The sequence below is a fragment of the Homo sapiens genome, chromosome 19, assembly GCF_000001405.40.
Source record: "Homo sapiens chromosome 19, GRCh38.p14 Primary Assembly".
Lineage (NCBI taxonomy): Eukaryota > Metazoa > Chordata > Mammalia > Primates > Hominidae > Homo > Homo sapiens.
The window spans coordinates 13,205,457-13,224,441 of NC_000019.10; the positions used below are offsets into that span (position 1 = coordinate 13,205,457).

Sequence of the window (18,985 nt, forward strand, 5' to 3'; positions counted from 1 at the left end):
TAGAAGGACTTACACCTGTCTTGCTATCTGGAGTCTGCAGATTTCTTACCCAAGGTAAGCTCAAGCAGGGCCTGTTGTCTGGAACAAGACCTGTTCAAAATGTTTGCCTTAATGCTACAGTAGTAATGGTGATAGTCAATAGTAGCTTGCTATGGGTCAGGTACTGTTGTGAGAACAGAAGCTCTCAAAGGGGTATTGGACTCTGGGGATGGCTGAAACACTTCGTGGGGGCGGGGGTTGGTGTCCACGAGACCAAATTATTATTATTAATTATCTAAGATGGAGTCTTGCTCTGTCACCCAGGTTGGAGTGCAGTGGCACGATCTTGGTTCACTGCAACCTCCGCCTCCTGGGTTCAAGCAATTCTCCTGCCTCAGCTTCCCGAGTAGCTGGGATTACAGGCACCCACCACCACGCGTGGCTAATTTTTGTATTTGTAGTAAAGACGGCGTTTCACTATGTTGGCCAGGCTGGTTGTGAACTCCTGACCTCATGTGATCCACCCACCTCGGCCTCCCAAAGTGCTGGGATTATAGGCGTGAGCCACCGCGCCCTGCCTTTTTTTTTTTTATTTTGAGACAAGAGTCTCATTCCGTCACTCAGGCTGGAGTGCAGTGGTGGGATCTTGGCTCACTGCTAACCTCCGCCTCTCAGGCTCAGGTGATTCTCATGCCTCAGCCTCCGGAGTAGCTGGGATTACAGTTTGTGCAACCACGCATGGCTAATTTTTTTTGTATTTTTAGTAGAGATGAGGTTTTGCCATGTTGGTCGGGCTGGTCTCGAACTCCTGACCTCAAGTGATCCATCTGCCTTAGCCTCCCAAAGTGCTGGGATTACAGGCGTGCATGATGCCCGGCCTCCTTGTCGCTTTCAAACAGTGCTTCTAGGAGCTAACAAAGAAGTGCCTCTTTGTATGATTCCCCAAGAGAGACCCACCCAGGCAGCACCTAGCCAAGGGACAAAGACCACTCCTATCCAAAAGCCCTTTGATTCAACTTTTTTTTATTTTTTTTTTCTTTTTGAATGTCATGCAATAATTCACAGTCCCAAGCCCACGGTTTTCAAACAAGGTAGGAAAAAAGGAAAAAAGAAGCAAAGGAATCGGTGGTGATGGTGGGTTTTTCTTCTTCTTTTGTTGTTTCAAGCAGGACCAAATGTCAGAAAAAAATGCCTCTTTTCTCAATCATTAATTTTTTTGTCCTTTTTAAAATTGTTTATTGTTATTATTATTTTTTTAAATTGATTTCTGCAGGCAGTAATAGTAGGGTTTGGTATAACCGGCAAGCACTCTTGTGTGTGTCTGAGAACGTGTGTGGGTGTGAGTGTGTCTGGTGGTGGGTGTAGGGCACTGGGATTCTGGTTCCTTCTGGCTTCTTTGCCGCACTCGGCCACCAGCTGTCTTCATCAGGGAAAGGAAAGATTCAATTGAGATGATAAAACTCATCAATAGAAGCTATTTTTTTCTCCCCGTTTTTTCTTTTAAAAATGTTTTTTTTTTTTTTTTTTTTTTTTTTTTTCATGTTCCCCAAAGTTCTCCAAAAATGGCTGAGTTAATTCAAATCCCTTGGCTGTGTGGTTTGTCTGCTCCCTGCCTCCCACCCGAGAGCCCCTGTCGTGGGTGGGGGGATCGGGGCTGGTTGGGGGGCGCCGTGGCTGCCCAGGAGGGTCTCTTTTGGCCGAGGGTCTCTGCGGGACACCCTTGTGGCCCAGCCCTGGCCTCTCCAGAGTCTGGGGTCTCCCGGCTGGCCCTCTCCCGGGCCCTCTGTGCTGGGCCCCCGCGGCCTCTGCGCGGCTCCTCGGGTGGGGTGTGTGCGTGGGGTGCGTGGGGGGCCGGGCGGGCGCCACCTCGCCCGGGCTTAGCACCAATCATCGTCACTCTCGCTGTAGGGTTCGTGCAGGCCCTTCCTGGAGCCCGGCCCGCGGGGCCTGGCCAGTCCGTGCGCCGGGTAGTAGCCGTTGGGGAGTCGCCGGCCGTGCCGAGAAGGCGAGGCGCAGGCCGGGCCCGAGGCCCGGGGAGTCCTGGGCGAGCGCCCGGTGGCGCCCGAGGACGCGTGTCGTACGGGGGGTGGCGCGTCGTAGGCCCCGGCCATGGCCTCCTCGCCGCCCCCGCTGCCCGGGCCATCGGCCTCGTCGTAGTCGGAGCCCCGGTAGTAGCCATGGTGCCGGGGACCCGGGGGCCCCTCGGACACGTGCGGGCCAGATGCCGGCCACCGGGCCCCGCCGTGTCGACAGGCCCTGGGGGACTCGCTCCGGGCCGGGCCTGGGACCCGCCTCTCCATCCTGGGCGAGCGGCCGCTGCTGTGGCCCCCCGTGGGCGGCCGATCTCCGGCCAGAGGCTCGGCCGTGGGGCCTGGGTACCTCCGAGGGCCGCTGGTGGCCGCCCGGCCCGGCCTGGCCACCGCCTGCTGCTGCTGCTGCTGCTGCTGCTGCTGCTGCTGCTGCGGGGGCCCCGAGCCGCCGGCCTTACGGATCACAGGGGAATAGGACACGTGTGGCCGGGGGGTGGAGGGGGTCTGGGGGAGCTGGCGGCGGCCCCGCCGCGGAGTGCTGGTACCAGATGTTGAGGGGGCTGGGCTTCCACTTACGGAACTACTGCCCTACACGAAAATTGAAACAAAGGAAATCAAAAAAAAAGATACAACAAAATCAAAGGAGACACGGGATTGGGAGGAAGAGAGGGGAGCGAAGGGAGAGGGGCCGGGAGGAGAGGGAGGAGGGGGAGGGGGAGGAGGAGGAGGAGGAGGAGAGGGGGGACACAGGACATTGAATGGAAAAAAGCAACAGCCACAGGGAGGAGGGAGGGGAGGAGGGGGAGTGAGACAGGGAGGGGAGGAGTCGAAAACCAACACAACAAAGTGAAAAGAGAAATGAGAAATGGAGTTTTGTAAGTTTCGGGGTTAAAAATAGCAGAAGTTTCAAAAATTACTCACAGGCGTCCAGAGGACAGAAATCATAATTGAAACAAAAACAGAAGCCGGGTTAAAGGAAAGTGAAAGGTCGGGCGGCACGGCCCAGAACTCAAATATGATCCACAACCGAGGAGCAAGCAGCTGCGGGCGGCGGGGAGGGGGCGGCGGGTGGGCAAGGGGGCTGGGGGGACAGCATAGGCAGCTGGTGTGGTGGGGATCCGTGTCCGCTCCGGCCGCCGGGCACCCCGGTGGCTTGGGGGCAGGATGGGAGGTGGTCACAGCCGGGATCCGGGGACCTTTGCCTAGAGTGGCTGTTGGATGGGGTATCCCCTTCTCTCCTCCCCGCCTCCCGGCCGAGCCCAGCCTGGGGTCACTTGCAGCCGCACCCACCTGCCGGTGCGCCATGTGCTCTCGGCCCTCGCTGGGCGAGCGGGACCAGCGCTGGTCCCGAGCCCGTGCCCGGCCGTGGTCCGGCCGTTCCTGGGCATAGCGGTCCTTGTCGGGGGGCGGGGGATGGTGGTGGTGGTGGTGGTGGTGGTGGTGCTGTCGATGCTTCCGATCCTTGGGCCGGCCCCGCTCCTGGTCCCGCTCCTTCGACGGCAGGTCCCCGGATTGGGTGGTCATGCTCAGGTCTGTCCCCAAGCCTGGGCCGGGTGAGGGTCAGACAGACACACAGGTGGTCGTGAGGGAGAGGTGGGGCAGATGCACACACAGGAGGCCACCTGGAAGGTGTGGGGGCCCTAGAGATCCCCTGAACCGAGGCAGGTCAGTGGGTTGGGGGGAGGGGGTAGTACCCAGGTTCCTGCAGCTGCTGCCTGGCCCCCTCTGTCCCCTCTCCATGGAGGCCTCTCCCTTTCTTCTTCCTTAGTGTCTCCTCCGCCCTGCCTTCTCCTCCCCTCTCCTCTCCTCTGTTCTGCTTGTCCCTGAGCACCACAGGGCTGCCCACCTGTGTCCACATCGGTGTAGCGGCCCAGGGAGCGCTCAGAGGCGCGGTGGCTGCGGTCGCGGCGCCGCTGGTGGTGCCGCTGGTTCTCCTCGGGCGGGACCCGCTCCAGCGAGTAATCGTCCAGGCGTCGGGCCTTGGGGCCCAGCACGGAGGCTGAACGCTTCATGGGGCTGGTGTCTGAGATGGTCTGGGGGAGGGGACAGGCCGGTGGGCTGGGGTCAGCAGCTAGCACCAAGTGGTCCCGGTCCTTCCTGCCCCATTGTGGCAGCCTGGTGGTGGCCTTCGGTGACTGCGGTGTGACCATCCTGGGGCAGGGGCCAGGGGATGCCATGGGGCCTTGGCTCCCCCTGATCAATCAGGGCTCTGGGTGTGGCCAGGCCTCTGAGGGTGGAGCCTGAGGATTCCTCTGTCCCTCAGAGACAGGACTGCTCCTTTTGAGCCCATCCTGGGTTCTGACCAGAAAGATCTGATCCTCACTCTCCAGTCCTGGGGGCCCAGCCACAGTTGGGCAGGCTCAGGCTGGCCAGAGGGAAGCCCTCTCCACATCCAGGGTGCAAACCTGGGAGCCCTGGACTGCCGCACTCATCCCTGCCCCAGCTTGCTCTCCTGGGAGGGTGAGAAGCCTCCGACTGTGGCTGGCTGACCTATGGGCTCAGGACCAGGTGCCCGGCATGGCAGCTTTGGGTCCTCCCGGCTAACGGGGCTGTGCTCGCTGCCCCCACAAGTCTGAGTCCTTCTGGTGAGGCCCAAGCTAGGGAGCTCTGGGTGGGGGTGGGGGATACCCAGGCACTGGAGGCTCTGGGGGCCCACTCTTTTCCCTGGTGCTTCATCCCTGGGTCAAGCCCTGACACACAGGTTTCTCTGCAGCAGGCAGAGGAGGGAAGGAGGGAGATGGGGCAGACGCCCGCCTCCCAGGGTCCAGCCCAGCTGAGCGCTGGTGGCCCTGCTCCAGGTAGGAGCTGCAGGACCAGGGGTTGGTGGTGGTGTCAGGAGAAGAAGCCCCCCAGAAAGAGGTGCAGAGTGGGCCAGGCTCTTGGAGAGCCAGTGTCCTCCGGCGTGGGGGGCCCTGAAGAAAAGGGGGTAGGGGTGAGGATGGGGATGGCCCCGCCCACCAGGGCTTATGGGTGAGGGGCACACACAGGACACCACACACAAGGATTGGGCTCCATGGAGGGGAGAGGGTGCGATTGCCAAAGAAAGGGTGGGGTCCGGGGACGGTGAGAGATGACGGGACTCCCTGGAGGGGGGGTGGGGAGGAAGAGGGGGCCGGAGCCCTGCTGGGCGCTGGGCAGGCGCGGTACATACACTGAGGTTATTCCCACGTGGCCGGCCCCTTCTCCTCTGTCACAGCCCCATGGGATGGTGCACACAGAAAAAACAGAAAGAAGAAAATAAATATAAAAGGCAAGAGGGAGAGTGAGGAGGTGGTGCATGGAGAAGAAGCCAAGGAGGGGAGTGGCACTGGCATCAAGAGAAATCGGAGGGAGAAGGCAGGGAGGAAAAGAAAAGTTAAAGTCCTGGCGGGTGGGTGTCCCAGGCCCCCGGGGCTGGGCGTCCTCTATTCCCATGGGTACAGAGGAGACAGACAGGAGATGCAGACAGACAAATGGCAGAGGCATGGGACCGAAAGACAGGACGGCGCAGCCTCGAGCCCCTGGCCCTGGGCTCTGCCTCATGCGATGCACACCCCAACCCCTGGCTCCGGCCGATGCTCAAAGCTTCCATGTGGTGGCCGTCAGCTGGGCTTGTCCCAACCCTCTCCTGGGGCCCAGCAGCTCGGTCCTGAGGGAGCAGCAGCATGCACGCTGGGTGCTCCCCAACCCACGTTCCCAGCAGCCAGAGGCCAGGCCCTCAGGTGACCCTGGTCCAGCCAGGCACAGCACAGCCTCCTGCCCCGTGCAGACGCCACACACGGCACACGGAAAGCTCGCCACAGCCACACATGCCACGCACCCGGGCCAGGCTCTCACAGCCATGCCCTGTTCTCCTCCAGAGGCGGGCTGCGTGCATGGGCCCCCGCTGTTCAGGCCGGGTGGGCAGCCAGCTATGCCTCTGGGCCCTCTGTCCCATGAGTCCAAGGCAACGGGATCACCTGCAGGTGGGCCTGGCAGCTGGGTGAAGCGGCCACACACAGACACACATCAAGCACACACCCCTGTGCCCCCCAATGACTCCCACAGAGACCAGACAGAAAATACGAGCCCAGCTGCCCCCAGACCCACCCCAGACTCTGCTACTGTATCCTAGGACCTGCCAAGTTCCCATATGCAGACACGTGTGCACGTACATGTGTGCATGTGTGAGTACATGTGCAGTGTGTATATGCCCACGTGCACACACGTGTGTGTATGCAAGCATCTGAGTAGGCGCACAGCTGCACATGTGTGTGCATGTATGTTGAGCATGTGTGTGTGTGTTTGTGTAGGGGTGATCTTCGTGGCAGGTCTCAGCTGGCCCTGTTGAACCCTGCTGCACCCACAAATCTTCCACAACCTCCCCTGTCTGCAGCCTCCAACCAGGGCAGCCAGAGACCATTTTGCAGTGGCCACTGCCCTCTGCCCCAGGGGGAGCACTTTCCTCTCTGTCCTCTGTGAGGGAGGAGGGTCTGCAGGTGCTCCAGGTGTGACCAGGTGGTGGGTGGGGCCTGCAGACTGCTTCAGAGACTGAAGGAGTCCCTACCCAGGCCTGAGTCCGGCAGGGAGGGGATGCACTGGGCTGCTTGTGGGGGGGCCTGGCCCTACCCAGTGCAGAGTGAGGGGTCCAGCCCCAGGGCAGTGGTGAAAGCCCTCACCTGGTTCTCTGCAGGGAGGCGGGGCATGGAGGCAGCCCGGCCCTGGCCTTCCATGGGGAGGTAGTGCTCGCTGTCGGAGTAGCCATCTCTGCCCATCTCTCGCATCTCCACGGACTGCGGAGCAGATGGCAAAGCCAGATGAGCTCTGGGGCCTGACCTCCAGATCCCTGGTGTCTGCAGAGGGAGGGAGCTGCAGGTGTGTGTGTGTGGGGGGCCCAGATCCCTTCCACCTGAACCACCCGGGCCCTGGGAGCCATTGGGGAGTTGGGGGACAGAGGCACCTGAGAGTTAGGCTGGCTGTTGGGCATGTCGGTAGGGGGGCCTTGTTCCGGACTCCATGTGCCCGTCTTCTGGAACATCTCCTGGGCACGCTGGGTCACCCAGGACGGGCTCTCCTTGAGGCCGCTTTCGTGAGCCATCCTGCATGGGGGACAGAGGCCGGGGTAGCAGTGGGCGCTTGGGCAGCTTCCAGAACGTGGGGACCACGGCACCCCCACACTCCACCTCCCTGGCAGGGGTGACACTCACAGGGCTCCTCCTGGGTCCAGCTGGGTGGAGGGGAGGGCGTTCTGGCCAGGTCCCCCTTCCTGCGTTGGGGACGGGGGCTCCATGCGCTGGAACATGAGGGGTGTCCGGTCCTGGGGAATGGGGCAGAGAGCAGTGTGTGGACAAGGGTGGGGTGGTGGGACGGTGGTACCCAGAAGGCATTGCGACATCCCCAGTATACACACACACACACACACACACTCTCTCAGGTCTCATCCATCTAGACCCTTCCAATTCCACGCAGAACTGGACCACTTCTCACTCCTCCACCCAAGTCATAGCCCCAGCCTGGTCCCACGTCCTCATCTCTCACTGCAGGCACCTTCTCCCAGGTCTCCCGCTCCTACCTTCAACCCCACTGTTCCACAAGAGCCACCAGAGGGCGCCCATGAGCACTTGAGTCAGGTCCTATCCCTCCTTTGCTTAGAACCCTCCATGGCTCCCACTTGCTTGGGGAAAAAGCCAGAGTCCTTCCTGCAGCTCCCATGGCCCTGAAGGATCTGCCCTGTCACCTCCTTGCCCTTGTCTCCTCCCTGCTCTTTTCCACCACACTGGCCTCTTTGCTGTTACCCAAACAACCCAGGCACGGTCCAGCCTCAGAGCCTTTGCACTGGCTGTTTCCTCTGCCTGGAACACCCTTCCAGGTATTGCTTAGCTCACTCCCTCTCCCCTTTTCCTTCAAGCCTTTGCTCACATGTCACTTTCTCAGGGAGGCTCCCCAACTACCCATTTCCCACCGCATCCCCTCCTCCCCTGGATACTCCTATCTTCTGGATTCTTCTCCACTTTCCCCCACGACACTTTCTTTCTCTTTGCTGGATGTTGCACGATTCAGTCATTTGCTACCATTGGCATTTCCCCACTTGGAATGTCTGCTCCCTGAGGGCAGGGATTCTGGCCTATTTTCCCCATGGGTGCATCCCCGAGGACTGAGAACAGCGCCCTGCACACAGTAATACTCAATAAGTGTTGGTGGAGCAGCTGAATGAAGAATGAATCCACATGATGTGTCCTTGGCAAGAACTTTTTTTTTTTTTTTTTTTTTTTTTTTTGAGATAGAGTCCTGCTCTTATCACCCGGGCTGGAGTGCAGTGGCTTGATCTTGGCTTGCTGCAACCTCCACCTCCCAGGTTCAAGTGATTCTCCTGCCTCAGCCTCCCAAGTAGCTGGGACCACAGGTGCATGGCGCCACATGCAGCTAATTTTATTTTTTTTTTGTAGAGATATGGGTCTTTCTATGTTGCCCAGACTGGTCTCCCACTCCTGGCCTCAAGTGATCCTCCCATCTTGGCCTCCTAAATAGCTGGGACTACAGGTGTGCACCACCATGCCTGGCTAATGTTTTATTTTGTAGAGATGGAGTCTCACTGTGTTGCCCAGGGTGGTCTCATCCTGGTCTCAAACGATCCCTCTGCCCTGGCCTCTCAAAGCACTGAGATTGCAGGTGTGAGCTGCTGTGCACAGCCCCTACTTTTCAGGGACCTGCCCTGGGGCTCAGCCACCCTCATATTCCAGTTGGTTCCCGTGGTGACATGCAAGCCACTGTCCCCAGCCCAGATGTCCCCAGAGCGGCGAACAGCGCACCTGCTCCTCGCGCATGGCCTGCAGCTTCTTGGCCTTGCTCTGCCGGTAGTACTCCATGATCATCATGGCTGCGTAGATCTTCCCCACGGTGAGGTCCGTGGCTGGGGGCACACACACGGTGAGCTCACCAAGGGCAGGCCTCTTTGGGGCCCTTGTCCTGGGTCCCTGTGTATACCAGCCCAGGCCAACACTCTCCCCAGGCCTCCCCTTTCCCTCCCCCTCCATCTGTCCTGGTGGATTGGATCCCAGGGCTGGGCTCAGCTCTTACACTTGTGAGGTGTGACCAGCAGGTCTAGCGTCTTCTGGGACAGATTGGGCCAAATCGCCATCATCTCCTTCCGCAGCTCAGCGTCCATCTGCTGTTTGTCGGCTCCTCCTGCAATGGGGGTGTAGACAGACCCTGACTGCCTGCCTGGGTGTCAGCTGGACTCTGGGTCAGCTGCAAAGCCATAGGCTCCCGAGAACGAGACCCCAATCTTTCTGGTCCCCATGGGGTCTCCAGTTCCCCAACGGCCTGGCCCAGAGGAGGCCCTGGGCAGTGCTGCTGGAATGACCTTGTGGGCTCTGGTTTTCGGTGGGGCCAGGACCATGGAGCAGCTGTGCAGGAGACAGCCCGGCATGGAGAACAGCTGGGCGACCTGGGTCCCAATCTTGTCTCCCAGTTATCGGCTGCATGACTTAGGTTACTCTACCACTTAGTAACTCAGTTTCTCCATCTGTGAAATGGAGATGATAGCAAGAGTACTTGCCTCACCTGGTTGTTGTGTGTGTGTGTGTGTGTTTTTTTTTTTTTTTTAGACAGAGTCTTGCTCTGTTGCCCAGGCTGGAGTGCAGTGGCACGAGCTTGGCTCACTGCAACCTCCGACTCCTGGGTTCAAGCAATTCTCCTGTCTCAGCTTCCCGAGTAGCTGGGATTACAGACATGCACCACCATGCCTGGCTAATTTTTTGTATTTTTAGTAGAGACGGAGTTTCACCATGTTGGTCAAGCTGGTCTCGAACTCCTAACCTCGGGTGATCCACACGCCTCGGCCTCCCAAAGTGCTGGGATTACAGGCGTAAGCCACCGCGCCTGGCTGGTTGTTTTTTTTTTGTTTTTTTTTTGAGATGGAGTTTCACTCTTGTTGCCCAGGCTGGAGTGCAATGGTGCAATCTCAGCTCACTGCAACCTCTGCCTCCTGGGTTCAAGCGATTCTCCTGCCTCAGCCTCCCGAGTAGCTGGGATTACAGGTGTGCACCACCACGCCCAACTAATTTTGTATTTTTAGTAGAGACGGGGTTTCACCATGTTGGCCAGGCTGGTCTCAAACTCCTGACCTCAGGTGATCCACCCTCCTCAGCCTCCCAAAGTGCTGGCGATTACATGCGTGAGCCACCGCGTCTGGCCTGTTTTTTTTTTTTTTTTGACAGAGTCTCTCTCTGTTCCCAGGCTGAAGTGCAGTCATGTGATCTCGACTCACTGTTACCTCCGCCTCCCAGGTTCAAGAGATTCTCCCGCTTCAGCTTCCTGAGTAGCTGGGACTACAGGCACGCACCACCATGCCTGGCTATCACCTGGTTGTTTGATGATCAAAGTAACGTGCGTGCAGCCTTGGGACAGTGTCTGCCATAGGATTATTACTGCAGTGACCCATCTGTTCAAGGCTGGGACGCCCTGGAGCATCCCCAACAGAGGAAGTTTTGGTTTTGGTTTTATTTTGATTTTTGAGACAGGGTTTTGCTCTGTCGCCCAGGCTAGAGTGCCGTGGCACAAACATAGCTCACTGCAGTCTCGACCTCCTGGGCTCAAGATCCTCCCACCTCAGCCTCCCAAAGTGCTGGAATTACAGATGAAAGCCACTGTGCGTGGCTCAGAGGAGGTCTTTTCCCCTTTCCCAAGTCTCCACTGCCACGGACATGCCCTTGGCCTGCAGCCAGTCCCTCGTCCCTCACCCCAGTCATGGGGTGAGTCATTAAAGCTCTCTGACGGTGTTTCCTGGCCCTCCTACCTGAGTACATGGGGGGGTTCCTCCTGTGGTTGGCAGGGCCATGTGATGAGTCCTTGCTAATGGGGTGTGCACCATGTAATGTGCCACTTTGGGGCCAGAGCATTTATTATTATTTTTATTATTGTTATTATTTTTGAGATGGAGTCTCGCTCTGTCACTCAGGCTGGAGTGCAATGGCATGATCTCGGCTCACTGCAACCTCCACCTTCAGAGTTCAAGCGATTCTCCTACCTCAGCCTCCTGAGTAGCTGGGATTACAGACATCTGCCTGGCTATTTTTATATTTTTGTAGAGACAGGGTTTCACCATGTTGGCCAGGCTGGTCTCGAACTCCTGACCTCAGGTGATCTGCCTGCCTCGGCCTCCCAAAGTGCTGGGATTACAGGCATGAGCCACTGTGCCTGGCCTATTATTTTTTTTAAAAATTTATCTATCTATCTATCTATCTATCTATCTATCTATCTATCTATCTATCTATCATCTATCTATCGATCGACAGGGACTTACTCTGTTGCCCAGGCTGTGGCACAATCTTTGTTCACCGAAGCCTTGAGCTCCTGGGCTCAAGCAATCCACATTCTGACAGTCAGAATGTCACTGTGGGCTGCTATTTGGATATGCTAACTGGGTTTACGTTTAATATGCTAATTGGTTCAGGCAGGTAGTTGGCTCTGCCCTCAATGCCTGGGGTGGGGGGCTTGAAAGAGGATAGGGTCCAGCCTGGTCAACATGGTGAAACCAGTCTCTAGTAAAAATGCAAAAATTAGCTGGGCGTGGTGGCGTGCGCCTGTAATCCCAACTACTCGGGAGGCTGAGGCATGAGAATCGCTTGAACCTGGGAGGTGGAGGCTGCAGTGGTGAGTTGAGACTGCGCCACTGCACTCCAGCCTGGGCGACAGAACGAGACTCCGTCTCAAAACAATACAAAACAAACAAAACCAAAACCAAAATAGAGATTCTTCTGGGCAGAGAGAACAGAGGGGTGGGTGGGAGAGAGAAACAGATGGACAGGGAAGAGAGAGAGAGAGACAGAGACAGAGAGAATGAGATGGACTTGCCCCCTTTCTCCCAGTCTCCAGCAATGAATGGTGACACCATTTTTGAGAATCTGAAGAATGAGGTTAATCTGTACCCCCTTTGCAGCCCCTTAGCCTGCTGGAAAGGAAGCTCAGTGTGCTTAGAAAGTGAGCTGAACTATGAAAAGAAAGCGCGTTATGTTCTCCTGAGACCCGCATCTGCTCAAAGGGCTGCCACTGTTATCACTCTTCCATTGTTGTCCCCACACCCTCTTGACCTTCCGTAACCCCGAGAGCCTGGCTCAGCTGTGGAACTCCAGGATGAGGCCTGGCACCCACTGAGGACAAGAGGTGGAGGGGCTCCTGGCTGAGAAATCTGGGGGATCATTGTCTTCAGGGAACTGAGTGGCATCTGGGGTACAAGTAACAACTGTGACAGCCAAATTCAGAGACATCTCCAGGAGTCTTTGAAACCCTCAGGAAGGGAATCCAGTAGGTGTCATAGAAGCTGGGGTGCTAAGCAGTAAGGACTAGCTCAGTAGGCTAGTGTTGTCCAAACCCTGCACATTCCGATGAAAGGACTGGCCCATTGACTTGCTCCTGGGAGGTGATCTCTAAGCCTTTGAAATGTCCTGCCTGAAGAGTGTCTTTATTTAGCAGGGGGCCTTGGGCCACACTGTATAGTTCATTCTTTTTTTTTTTTTTTTTTTTTTTTAAAAAAAAGAGATAGGGTCTCACTATGTTGCCTAGGCTGGTCTCGAACTCCTGGCCTCAAACGATCCTCCAGCCTCAGCCTCCCAAAGTGCTGGGATTATAGGCATGAGTCACTGTACCCGGCCAATACAGTTCATTCTATTTATTTATTTATTTTGAGATGGTGTTTTTGCTCTATTGCCCAGGCTGGAGTGCAATGGTGCGATCTTGGCTCACTGCAACCTCGGCCTCCTAGTTTCAAGTGATTCTCCTGCCTCAGCTTCCCCAGTAGCTGGGATTACAGCCGCCCGCCGCCACGCCTGGATAATTTTCCATACAGTTCATTCTAACAATGCGATTTATCGTTGGGGTCTTGGGCCACGTGGTATCAGTTTGACCTCTGGAGGGACTGGAGACTGAGTAACTACGTCAGCCCTGCCTATATGACAAACCCTCAATAAAAACCCTGGGGCACCAAGGCTCAGGTGAGCTTCCCTGGTTGGCAGTACACGGTGCGTGTTGTCACACACTGCAGGGAGAATTAAGCGTTGTCTGTGCAACTCCACTGGAGGCAGACAACTGGAAGCTCGCACCTGGTGTCTCCTGGACCCTTCCCCAGATGCCCTTCCTTTGCGCATTTTATGTTTTTGGAATTTGTTTGTTTGTTTGAGACAGAGTCTTGCTCTGTTGCCCAGGCTGGAGTGCAGTGGCGTGATCTTGGCTTAATGTAGCTCTATCTCCTGGGTTGAAAGGATTCTTGTGCCTCAGCCTCTGGAGTAGCTGGGACTACAGGTGTATGCCACCACACCTGGCTAATTTTCTTTTTGGACAGAGTTTTGATCTTGTCACACAGGCTGGAGTGCAATGGCACAGTCTCAGCTCACTGCAACCTCTGCCTCCCAGGGTCAAGCGATTCTCCTGCCTCAGCCTCCTGAGTAGTTGGGATTACAGGGGTCTGGCACCATGCCTAATTTTTGTATTTTTGGTAGAGACGGGGTTTCGCCATGTTGGCCAGGCTGGTCTCAAACTTGTGACCTCAAGTGATCTGCCCGCCTTGCCCTCCCAAAGTGCCAGGATTACAGGCGTAAGCCACCATGCCAGGCCCTTTGCAGATTTTTTTTTTTTTTTTTTTTCTAATAGAGTCTCACTCTGTCCAGCCTGGAGTGAAGTGGCGGGATCTCGGCTCACTGCAACCTCTGCCTCCTGGGCTCAAGTGATTCTCCTACCTTAGCCTTCCAAGTAGCTGGGATTACTGGCGCCAGCCACCACGCCTGGCTAATTTTTGTATTTTTAGTAGAGACAGGGTTTCACCATGTTGGTCAGGCTGGTCTTGAACTCGTGACCTCAAGTGATCTGCCTACCTCGCCCTCCCAAAGTGCTGGGATTACAGGCGTGAGCCACCGTGCCCGGCCCTTTGCAGATTTTAATCTATATTCTTTCACTGTAATAAACTGTGAGTATAAAAACTTTTCTCAGTTCTGAGTTCTTCCAGGGAATCACTGAACCTGTGGGTGGTTTTGGGACCCCTGAACACAGATTCTCAGAGTGCCACAGAAGCTGAGTTACGATGGCATTACATACAAAGAGTGGGGGTGTTGTTAGACCCGTTGTACAAACGAAGGAACTGTGGTAGGCAGAATTCAAAAGCTGCCCTTCTGCCAAGATTCTGTTTATTCAAACACTAATCTAGGGACCATTGCCCAGGCTATGAAGGGACTTTGCAGATATAATTAAAATACCGGAGGCCCGGTGCGGTGGCTCACGCCTGTAATCCCAGCACTTTGGGAGGCCGAGGTGGGCAGATCACGAGGTTGGGAGATCGAGACCATCCTGCTATCATGGTGAAACCCCGTTTCTACTAAAAATACAAAAAATTATCCGGGCGTGGTGGCACGCATCTGTAGTCCCACCTACTTGGGAGGCTGAGGCAGAATCACTTGAACCCGGGAGATGGAGGTTGCAGTGAGCCGAGATTGCGCCACTGCACTCCAGCCTGGGTGACAGAACAAGACTCCGTTTCAAAAAAAAAAAAAAAAAGAAAGAAAATGCTGGGCATGGTGGCTCACTCCTGTAATCCCAGCACTTTGGGAGGCTGAGGCGGGTGGATCACCTGAGGTCAGGAGTTCAAAACCAGCCTGGCCAACCTTGTGAAACCCCATCTCTACTAAAAATACAAAAAAATTTAGCTGGGCGTGGTGGTGGGCACCTGTAATCTCAGCTACTCAGGAGGCTGAGGCAGGAGAATTGCTTGAACCTGGGAGGCGGAGATTGCAGTGAACTGAGATCACACTATTATACTCCAGCCTTGGCAACAAGAGTGAAATTCTGTCTCAAGAAAAAAAAAAAATATCAAGTCAGCTGACCTCAAAATACAGAGATGATCAGGGTAGGCCTGCCCCAATCAGGTGAGCCCTTGAAAAGCACAGTATTGTCTCTGCTGGGTGGCAGATGGGGAAGTCAGAGAGAATGAGAGCACATGGAGGATTACATGCACTTCCAGGAGCAAAAAGCTAAAAAGCCAGTGATAAAACAAGACCTCAGTCCTACAGCCACAAGGACTTCAATTCTGCCAACACCTGAATGAACCTGGAAGTAGATTCTCCCCCAGATCCTCCAGAGAGGAGCCCAGCTTGGCTGACACCTTGATTTCAGCCTCGTGAGACCCTCAGCAGACAGCCCAGTCCAGCTTTTTGGACTTCTGACCTACAGGACTGTGAGCTGACAAATAGGTGTGTCTTAAGCTGCTATGTCTGTGGTCATCATATAGCTCACTGCAGCCTTGACATCCCAGTCCCCAGTGATCCTCCCACTCCAGCCTCCCAAGTAGTTGGGACTACAGGTGCACATCACCACACCTGGCTAATTTTAAAATTTTCTGTAGAGATGGGGTCTCTCTGTGTTGGCCAGGCTGATCTTGAACTCCTGGCCTCAAGTGATCCTCCTGCCTTGGCTTCCCAAAGTGCTGGGATTACAGGTGTGAGCCACTGCTCCCAACTTCCTTGTGCTCTCTTTACCTTCACTTTGTTCCTGGCATTAACAATATCTGTCCTCCACCCCTCCAGTCCCCCACCTTCCCTGCCACTTCCTCCTTGAGTCTTGCCACGTGGCCTTGGCTCTTCCTCCCTTCTTTCCCTCAAGACCCTGGAAGGCACATATGTCTCGAGGCTCAGTCTTCCCTCCTCCTGACTTACTAGTGGTTTCAGCTGGGCTCAGCACCTTCCCATGTGTGGGACTATCCACCTGCTCCTCTCCCACCCACTCCTTTTTTCTGGTCCCATTTGTTTTTTCTTTTCTTTCTTTCTTTCTTTTTTTTTTTTTTTTTGAGACAGAGTCTTGCTGTGTCCCCCAGGCTGGAGTGCAATGGTTTGATCTCGGCTCACTGCAACCTCTGCCTCCCAGGTTCAAGTAATTCTTGTGCTCAGCTTCCCAAGTTGTTGGGATTATAGGTGTGCACCACCATGCCTGGCTAATTTTTGTATTTTTAGTGGAGATGGGGTTTCGCCATGTTGGCCAGGCTGGTCTCAAATTCCTGGCCTCAAGTGATCCACCTTCCTCAGCCTCCCAAAGTGCTGGGATTACAGGCGTGAGCCTCAGGTCCCCGTTTCTTCTGGCAATTGTGCGCCTGTCTCTCTGCCCTGCTGTCCTTAATCAGCTGCCAAATCACATCACATCCCCTTTCGGGCCTCCGAAATGCACTCCAGACAGGGGACCCCTGACCCCTCCGCCAAAGCTGCACTGGTCAAAGTGACCATGATGACCAGTCACTTGTGATCCTTGTCATCCTTGGTCTCTGGGCAGTGCCTGACACGGTTGGTCCCCTTCCTCCTGAAGCCGCCCTTTTAAACATAGAAGCTGCCTCCAGGAGCCCACACTGCCCTGGTCTCTGCCCGCCTCCCTGGCCTCCTCTTCTTCTTTCCCCCTAATGATGGAGAGTGAGCCCTGAGCTAGGTCTTTGGGGGAATTTCTCGGTATTTTTTATTTTTATTTTTATTTTTGAGATGGAGTCTTGCTCTGTCGCCCAGGCTAAAGTGCAGTGATGTGATCTCGGCTCACTGCAATCTCTGCCTCCCGGGTTCAAGTGATTCTTCTGCCTCAGCCTCCCTAGTAACTGGGATTACAGGTACCCGCCACCACACCTGGCTAATTTTTGTATTTTTAGTAGAGACAGGGTTTTGCCATGTTGACCAGGCTGGTCTTGAACTCCTGACCTCAAGTGATCCACCCGCTTCAGCCTCCCAAAGTGCTGGGATTACAGGCACACGCCACGACACCCGGCTAATTTTTGTATTTTTAGTAGAGACAGGGTTTTGCCACGTTGGCCAGGCTGATCTCGAACTCCTGACCTCAAATGATCCACCCACCTCGGCCTCCCAGCGTGCTCAGATTACAGGCGTGAACCACTGTGCCTGGCCTCAACAAAATGCTGAGATTACAGGTGTGAGCCACCATGTCCAGCCTTCTCGGCTTTTTTTTTTTTTTTTTTTCAGATGAAGTCTCACTCTGTCACCCAGGCTGGAGTGCAGTGGCACAAGCTCGGCTCGCTGCAACCTCTGCCTCTCGGGTTCAAGCAATTCTCCTGCCTCAGCCTTCTGAGTAGCAGGGACTACAGGTGCGTGCCACCACACCCAGCTAATTTTTTGTATTTTTAGTAGAGAAGGGGTTTCACCGTGTTACCCAGGATGGTCTCGATTTCTTGACCTCATGATCTGCCCGCCTCGGCCTCCCAAAGTGCTGCTATTACAGGCGTGAGCCAGCGTGCCCGGCCTCAGCTTTTTTTTTTTTTGAGACAGCGTCTTGCTCTGTCATCCAGGCTGGAGTTCAGTGGCGCGATCTTGGCTCACTGCAACCTCTGTCTCCCAGGTTCAAGTGATTCTCCTGCCTCAGCCTCCGGAGTAGCTGGGGTTACAGGCGCCCACCATGACACCCGGCTACTTTTTGTATTTTTGGTAGAGATGGGGTTTCACCATGTTGGCCAGGCTGGTCTTGAACTCCTGACCTCGTGATCCACCCACCTTGGCCTCCCAAAGTGCTGGGATTACAGGCGTAAGCCACTGCGCCCAGCCCCTTCTCAGCTTTAAAAAAAATGTTTTTTTCTTTTTCTTTCTGTTGTTTTGAGCTAGGATCTCGTTCTGTCGCCCAGGCTGGAGTGCAGTGGTGCGATCATGACTCACTGCAGCCTCAAACTCCTGGCTTCAAGCAATACTCTCATCTCTGCCTCCTGAGTAGCTGGGACCACAGGCATATGCCACCATGTCCAGTTAATTTAATTTAATTTAATTTTTGAGACAGAGTCTTGCTCTGTCACCCAGGCTGTAGTGCAGTGGCGTGATCTCGGCTCACTGCAACCTCCGCCTCCCAGGTTCAAGCGATTCTTCTGCCTCATCCTCCCTAGTAGCTGGGACTACAGTACCCACCACCACGTCTGGCTAAATTTTGTATTTTTAGTAGAGACGGGGGTTTCACCACATTGGCCAGGCTGGTCATCCTGACCTCAAGTAATCCACCCACCTTGGCCTCCCAAAGTGCTGAGATTACAGGCGTGAGCCACCACGTCGAGCCTACCCCTAGATCTAAGCTGCCGCCCTGTCTCCACCCAGATGATATCAGCAGCCCCCACACTGGCCTCCTTTCGGTCTCCCATCCCCTCAGTGGCCGGAGGGAACCTGTTCAAATGTGAGTTGGGTCAGGTTCCTCCTCTGCTCTGAACCTGCGTGGCGTGCCCTCACTCAGAAGGTGAGTCAGCTCAATGCCCCGGGTGTCCTGTGTTCACCCCTCTGTCAGGGCCTTTGCCAGTCCTTCTGCCTGGAGCACCTTCCCCCCAGGGATCCATGAGACACTGCCTTACCTCCTCAGTGGCGGCCTCCCCATCCATCTAAAGTGTAAGCTGCTGGGTCCTCCCCTGCTTGGACGGGTCTCTGGCACATTGAAGGAGTGCACTAAATATCTGCCAAATGGGCCGGGTGTGGTGGCTCATGCCTGTAATACCAGCATTTTGGGAGACCAAGGTGGGAGGACTGCTTGAGCCCAGGAGTTTGAGACCAGCCTGGGCAACCTGATGAAACCCCATCTCTATAAAAAATATAAAAAATTAGGTTGGGCATGGTGGCTCACGCCTGTAATCCAGCACTTTGAGAGGTCGAGGCAGGTGGATCACTTGAGGTCAGGAGTTTGAGACCAGAGGTCAGGAGTTCGAGACCAGCCTGGCCAACATGGTGAAACCCCATCTCTACCCAAAATATAAAAAATTAGCCGGGTGTGCTGGTGGGTACCTATAATCCCAGCTACTTGGGAGGCTGAGGCAGGAGAATCGCTTGAACCCGGGAGGCGGAGGTAGCAATGAGCCAAGATCACACCACTGCACTTCAGCCTGGGTGACAGAGGGAAATTGTCACACCAAAAAAAAAAAAATTAGCCGAGTATGGTGGTGTGTGCCTGTAGTCCCAGCTACTGGGGAGGCTGAGGTGGAAGGATCACTTGAGCCTGGGAGGTCAAGGCTGCAGTGACTTGCGATC

At 55.5% G+C, this 18,985-nt stretch overlaps 1 protein-coding gene across 5 annotated transcripts in view, besides 9 other annotated features; it reads right to left on the reverse strand.

Moving 5' to 3' along the window:
- CACNA1A (calcium voltage-gated channel subunit alpha1 A) overlaps window positions 986–18,985 on the reverse strand; it is a 300,038-nt gene continuing 282,038 nt past the window's right edge. For 3 of the 5 annotated variants that reach the window (NM_001127221.2, NM_001174080.2, NM_000068.4), the window contains 9 exons: window positions 9,045–9,152; window positions 8,777–8,877; window positions 7,175–7,284; window positions 6,928–7,066; window positions 6,647–6,760; window positions 5,161–5,196; window positions 3,856–4,042; window positions 3,300–3,553; window positions 986–2,592 (listed from right to left, as the gene is read on the reverse strand). In NM_001127221.2, coding sequence (NP_001120693.1) covers window positions 2,590–2,592; window positions 3,300–3,553; window positions 3,856–4,042; window positions 5,161–5,196; window positions 6,647–6,760; window positions 6,928–7,066; window positions 7,175–7,284; window positions 8,777–8,877; window positions 9,045–9,152 — 1,052 coding nt within the window. In that variant the 3' untranslated portion in view covers window positions 986–2,589. Of the gene's footprint in view, window positions 2,598–3,299; window positions 3,554–3,855; window positions 4,043–5,160; window positions 5,197–6,646; window positions 6,761–6,927; window positions 7,067–7,174; window positions 7,285–8,776; window positions 8,878–9,044; window positions 9,153–18,985 lie in introns of all 5 variants that reach the window. The other 2 variants (NM_001127222.2, NM_023035.3) reach the window with 1 other exon arrangement.
- Window positions 2,403–2,441: a repeat instability region, noted in NCBI's record as "repeat instability region; expansion of the (CAG)n trinucleotide repeat (CTG repeat relative to the plus strand of the reference genome) is associated with spinocerebellar ataxia type 6". NCBI's record gives the evidence for it as "EXISTENCE:polymerase chain reaction evidence [ECO:0000082][PMID:8988170]".
- Window positions 2,403–2,442: a tandem repeat, named in NCBI's record as "calcium voltage-gated channel subunit alpha1 A repeat instability region".
- Window positions 2,784–3,053: an enhancer, noted in NCBI's record as "active region_14125". NCBI's record gives its function as "activates an Ori minimal core promoter by ATAC-STARR-seq in GM12878 lymphoblastoid cells {active_cell/tissue: GM12878}" and the evidence as "EXISTENCE:reporter gene assay evidence [ECO:0000049][PMID:35858748]".
- Window positions 3,054–3,103: a silencer, noted in NCBI's record as "silent region_10202". NCBI's record gives its function as "represses an Ori minimal core promoter by ATAC-STARR-seq in GM12878 lymphoblastoid cells {active_cell/tissue: GM12878}" and the evidence as "EXISTENCE:reporter gene assay evidence [ECO:0000049][PMID:35858748]".
- Window positions 3,184–3,373: a silencer, noted in NCBI's record as "silent region_10203". NCBI's record gives its function as "represses an Ori minimal core promoter by ATAC-STARR-seq in GM12878 lymphoblastoid cells {active_cell/tissue: GM12878}" and the evidence as "EXISTENCE:reporter gene assay evidence [ECO:0000049][PMID:35858748]".
- Window positions 3,360–4,260: an enhancer, noted in NCBI's record as "H3K27ac-H3K4me1 hESC enhancer chr19:13319630-13320530 (GRCh37/hg19 assembly coordinates)". NCBI's record gives its function as "activates a minimal SCP1, AML or CMV promoter by ChIP-STARR-seq in naive H9 embryonic stem cells {active_cell/tissue: H9 hESC(naive)}" and the evidence as "EXISTENCE:reporter gene assay evidence [ECO:0000049][PMID:30033119]".
- Window positions 10,145–10,345: a silencer, noted in NCBI's record as "peak3368 fragment used in MPRA reporter construct". NCBI's record gives its function as "represses an SCP1 promoter by STARR-seq MPRAs in K562 erythroleukemia cells {active_cell/tissue: K562}" and the evidence as "EXISTENCE:reporter gene assay evidence [ECO:0000049][PMID:32103011]".
- Window positions 10,226–10,275: an enhancer, noted in NCBI's record as "active region_14126". NCBI's record gives its function as "activates an Ori minimal core promoter by ATAC-STARR-seq in GM12878 lymphoblastoid cells {active_cell/tissue: GM12878}" and the evidence as "EXISTENCE:reporter gene assay evidence [ECO:0000049][PMID:35858748]".
- Window positions 10,396–10,765: an enhancer, noted in NCBI's record as "active region_14127". NCBI's record gives its function as "activates an Ori minimal core promoter by ATAC-STARR-seq in GM12878 lymphoblastoid cells {active_cell/tissue: GM12878}" and the evidence as "EXISTENCE:reporter gene assay evidence [ECO:0000049][PMID:35858748]".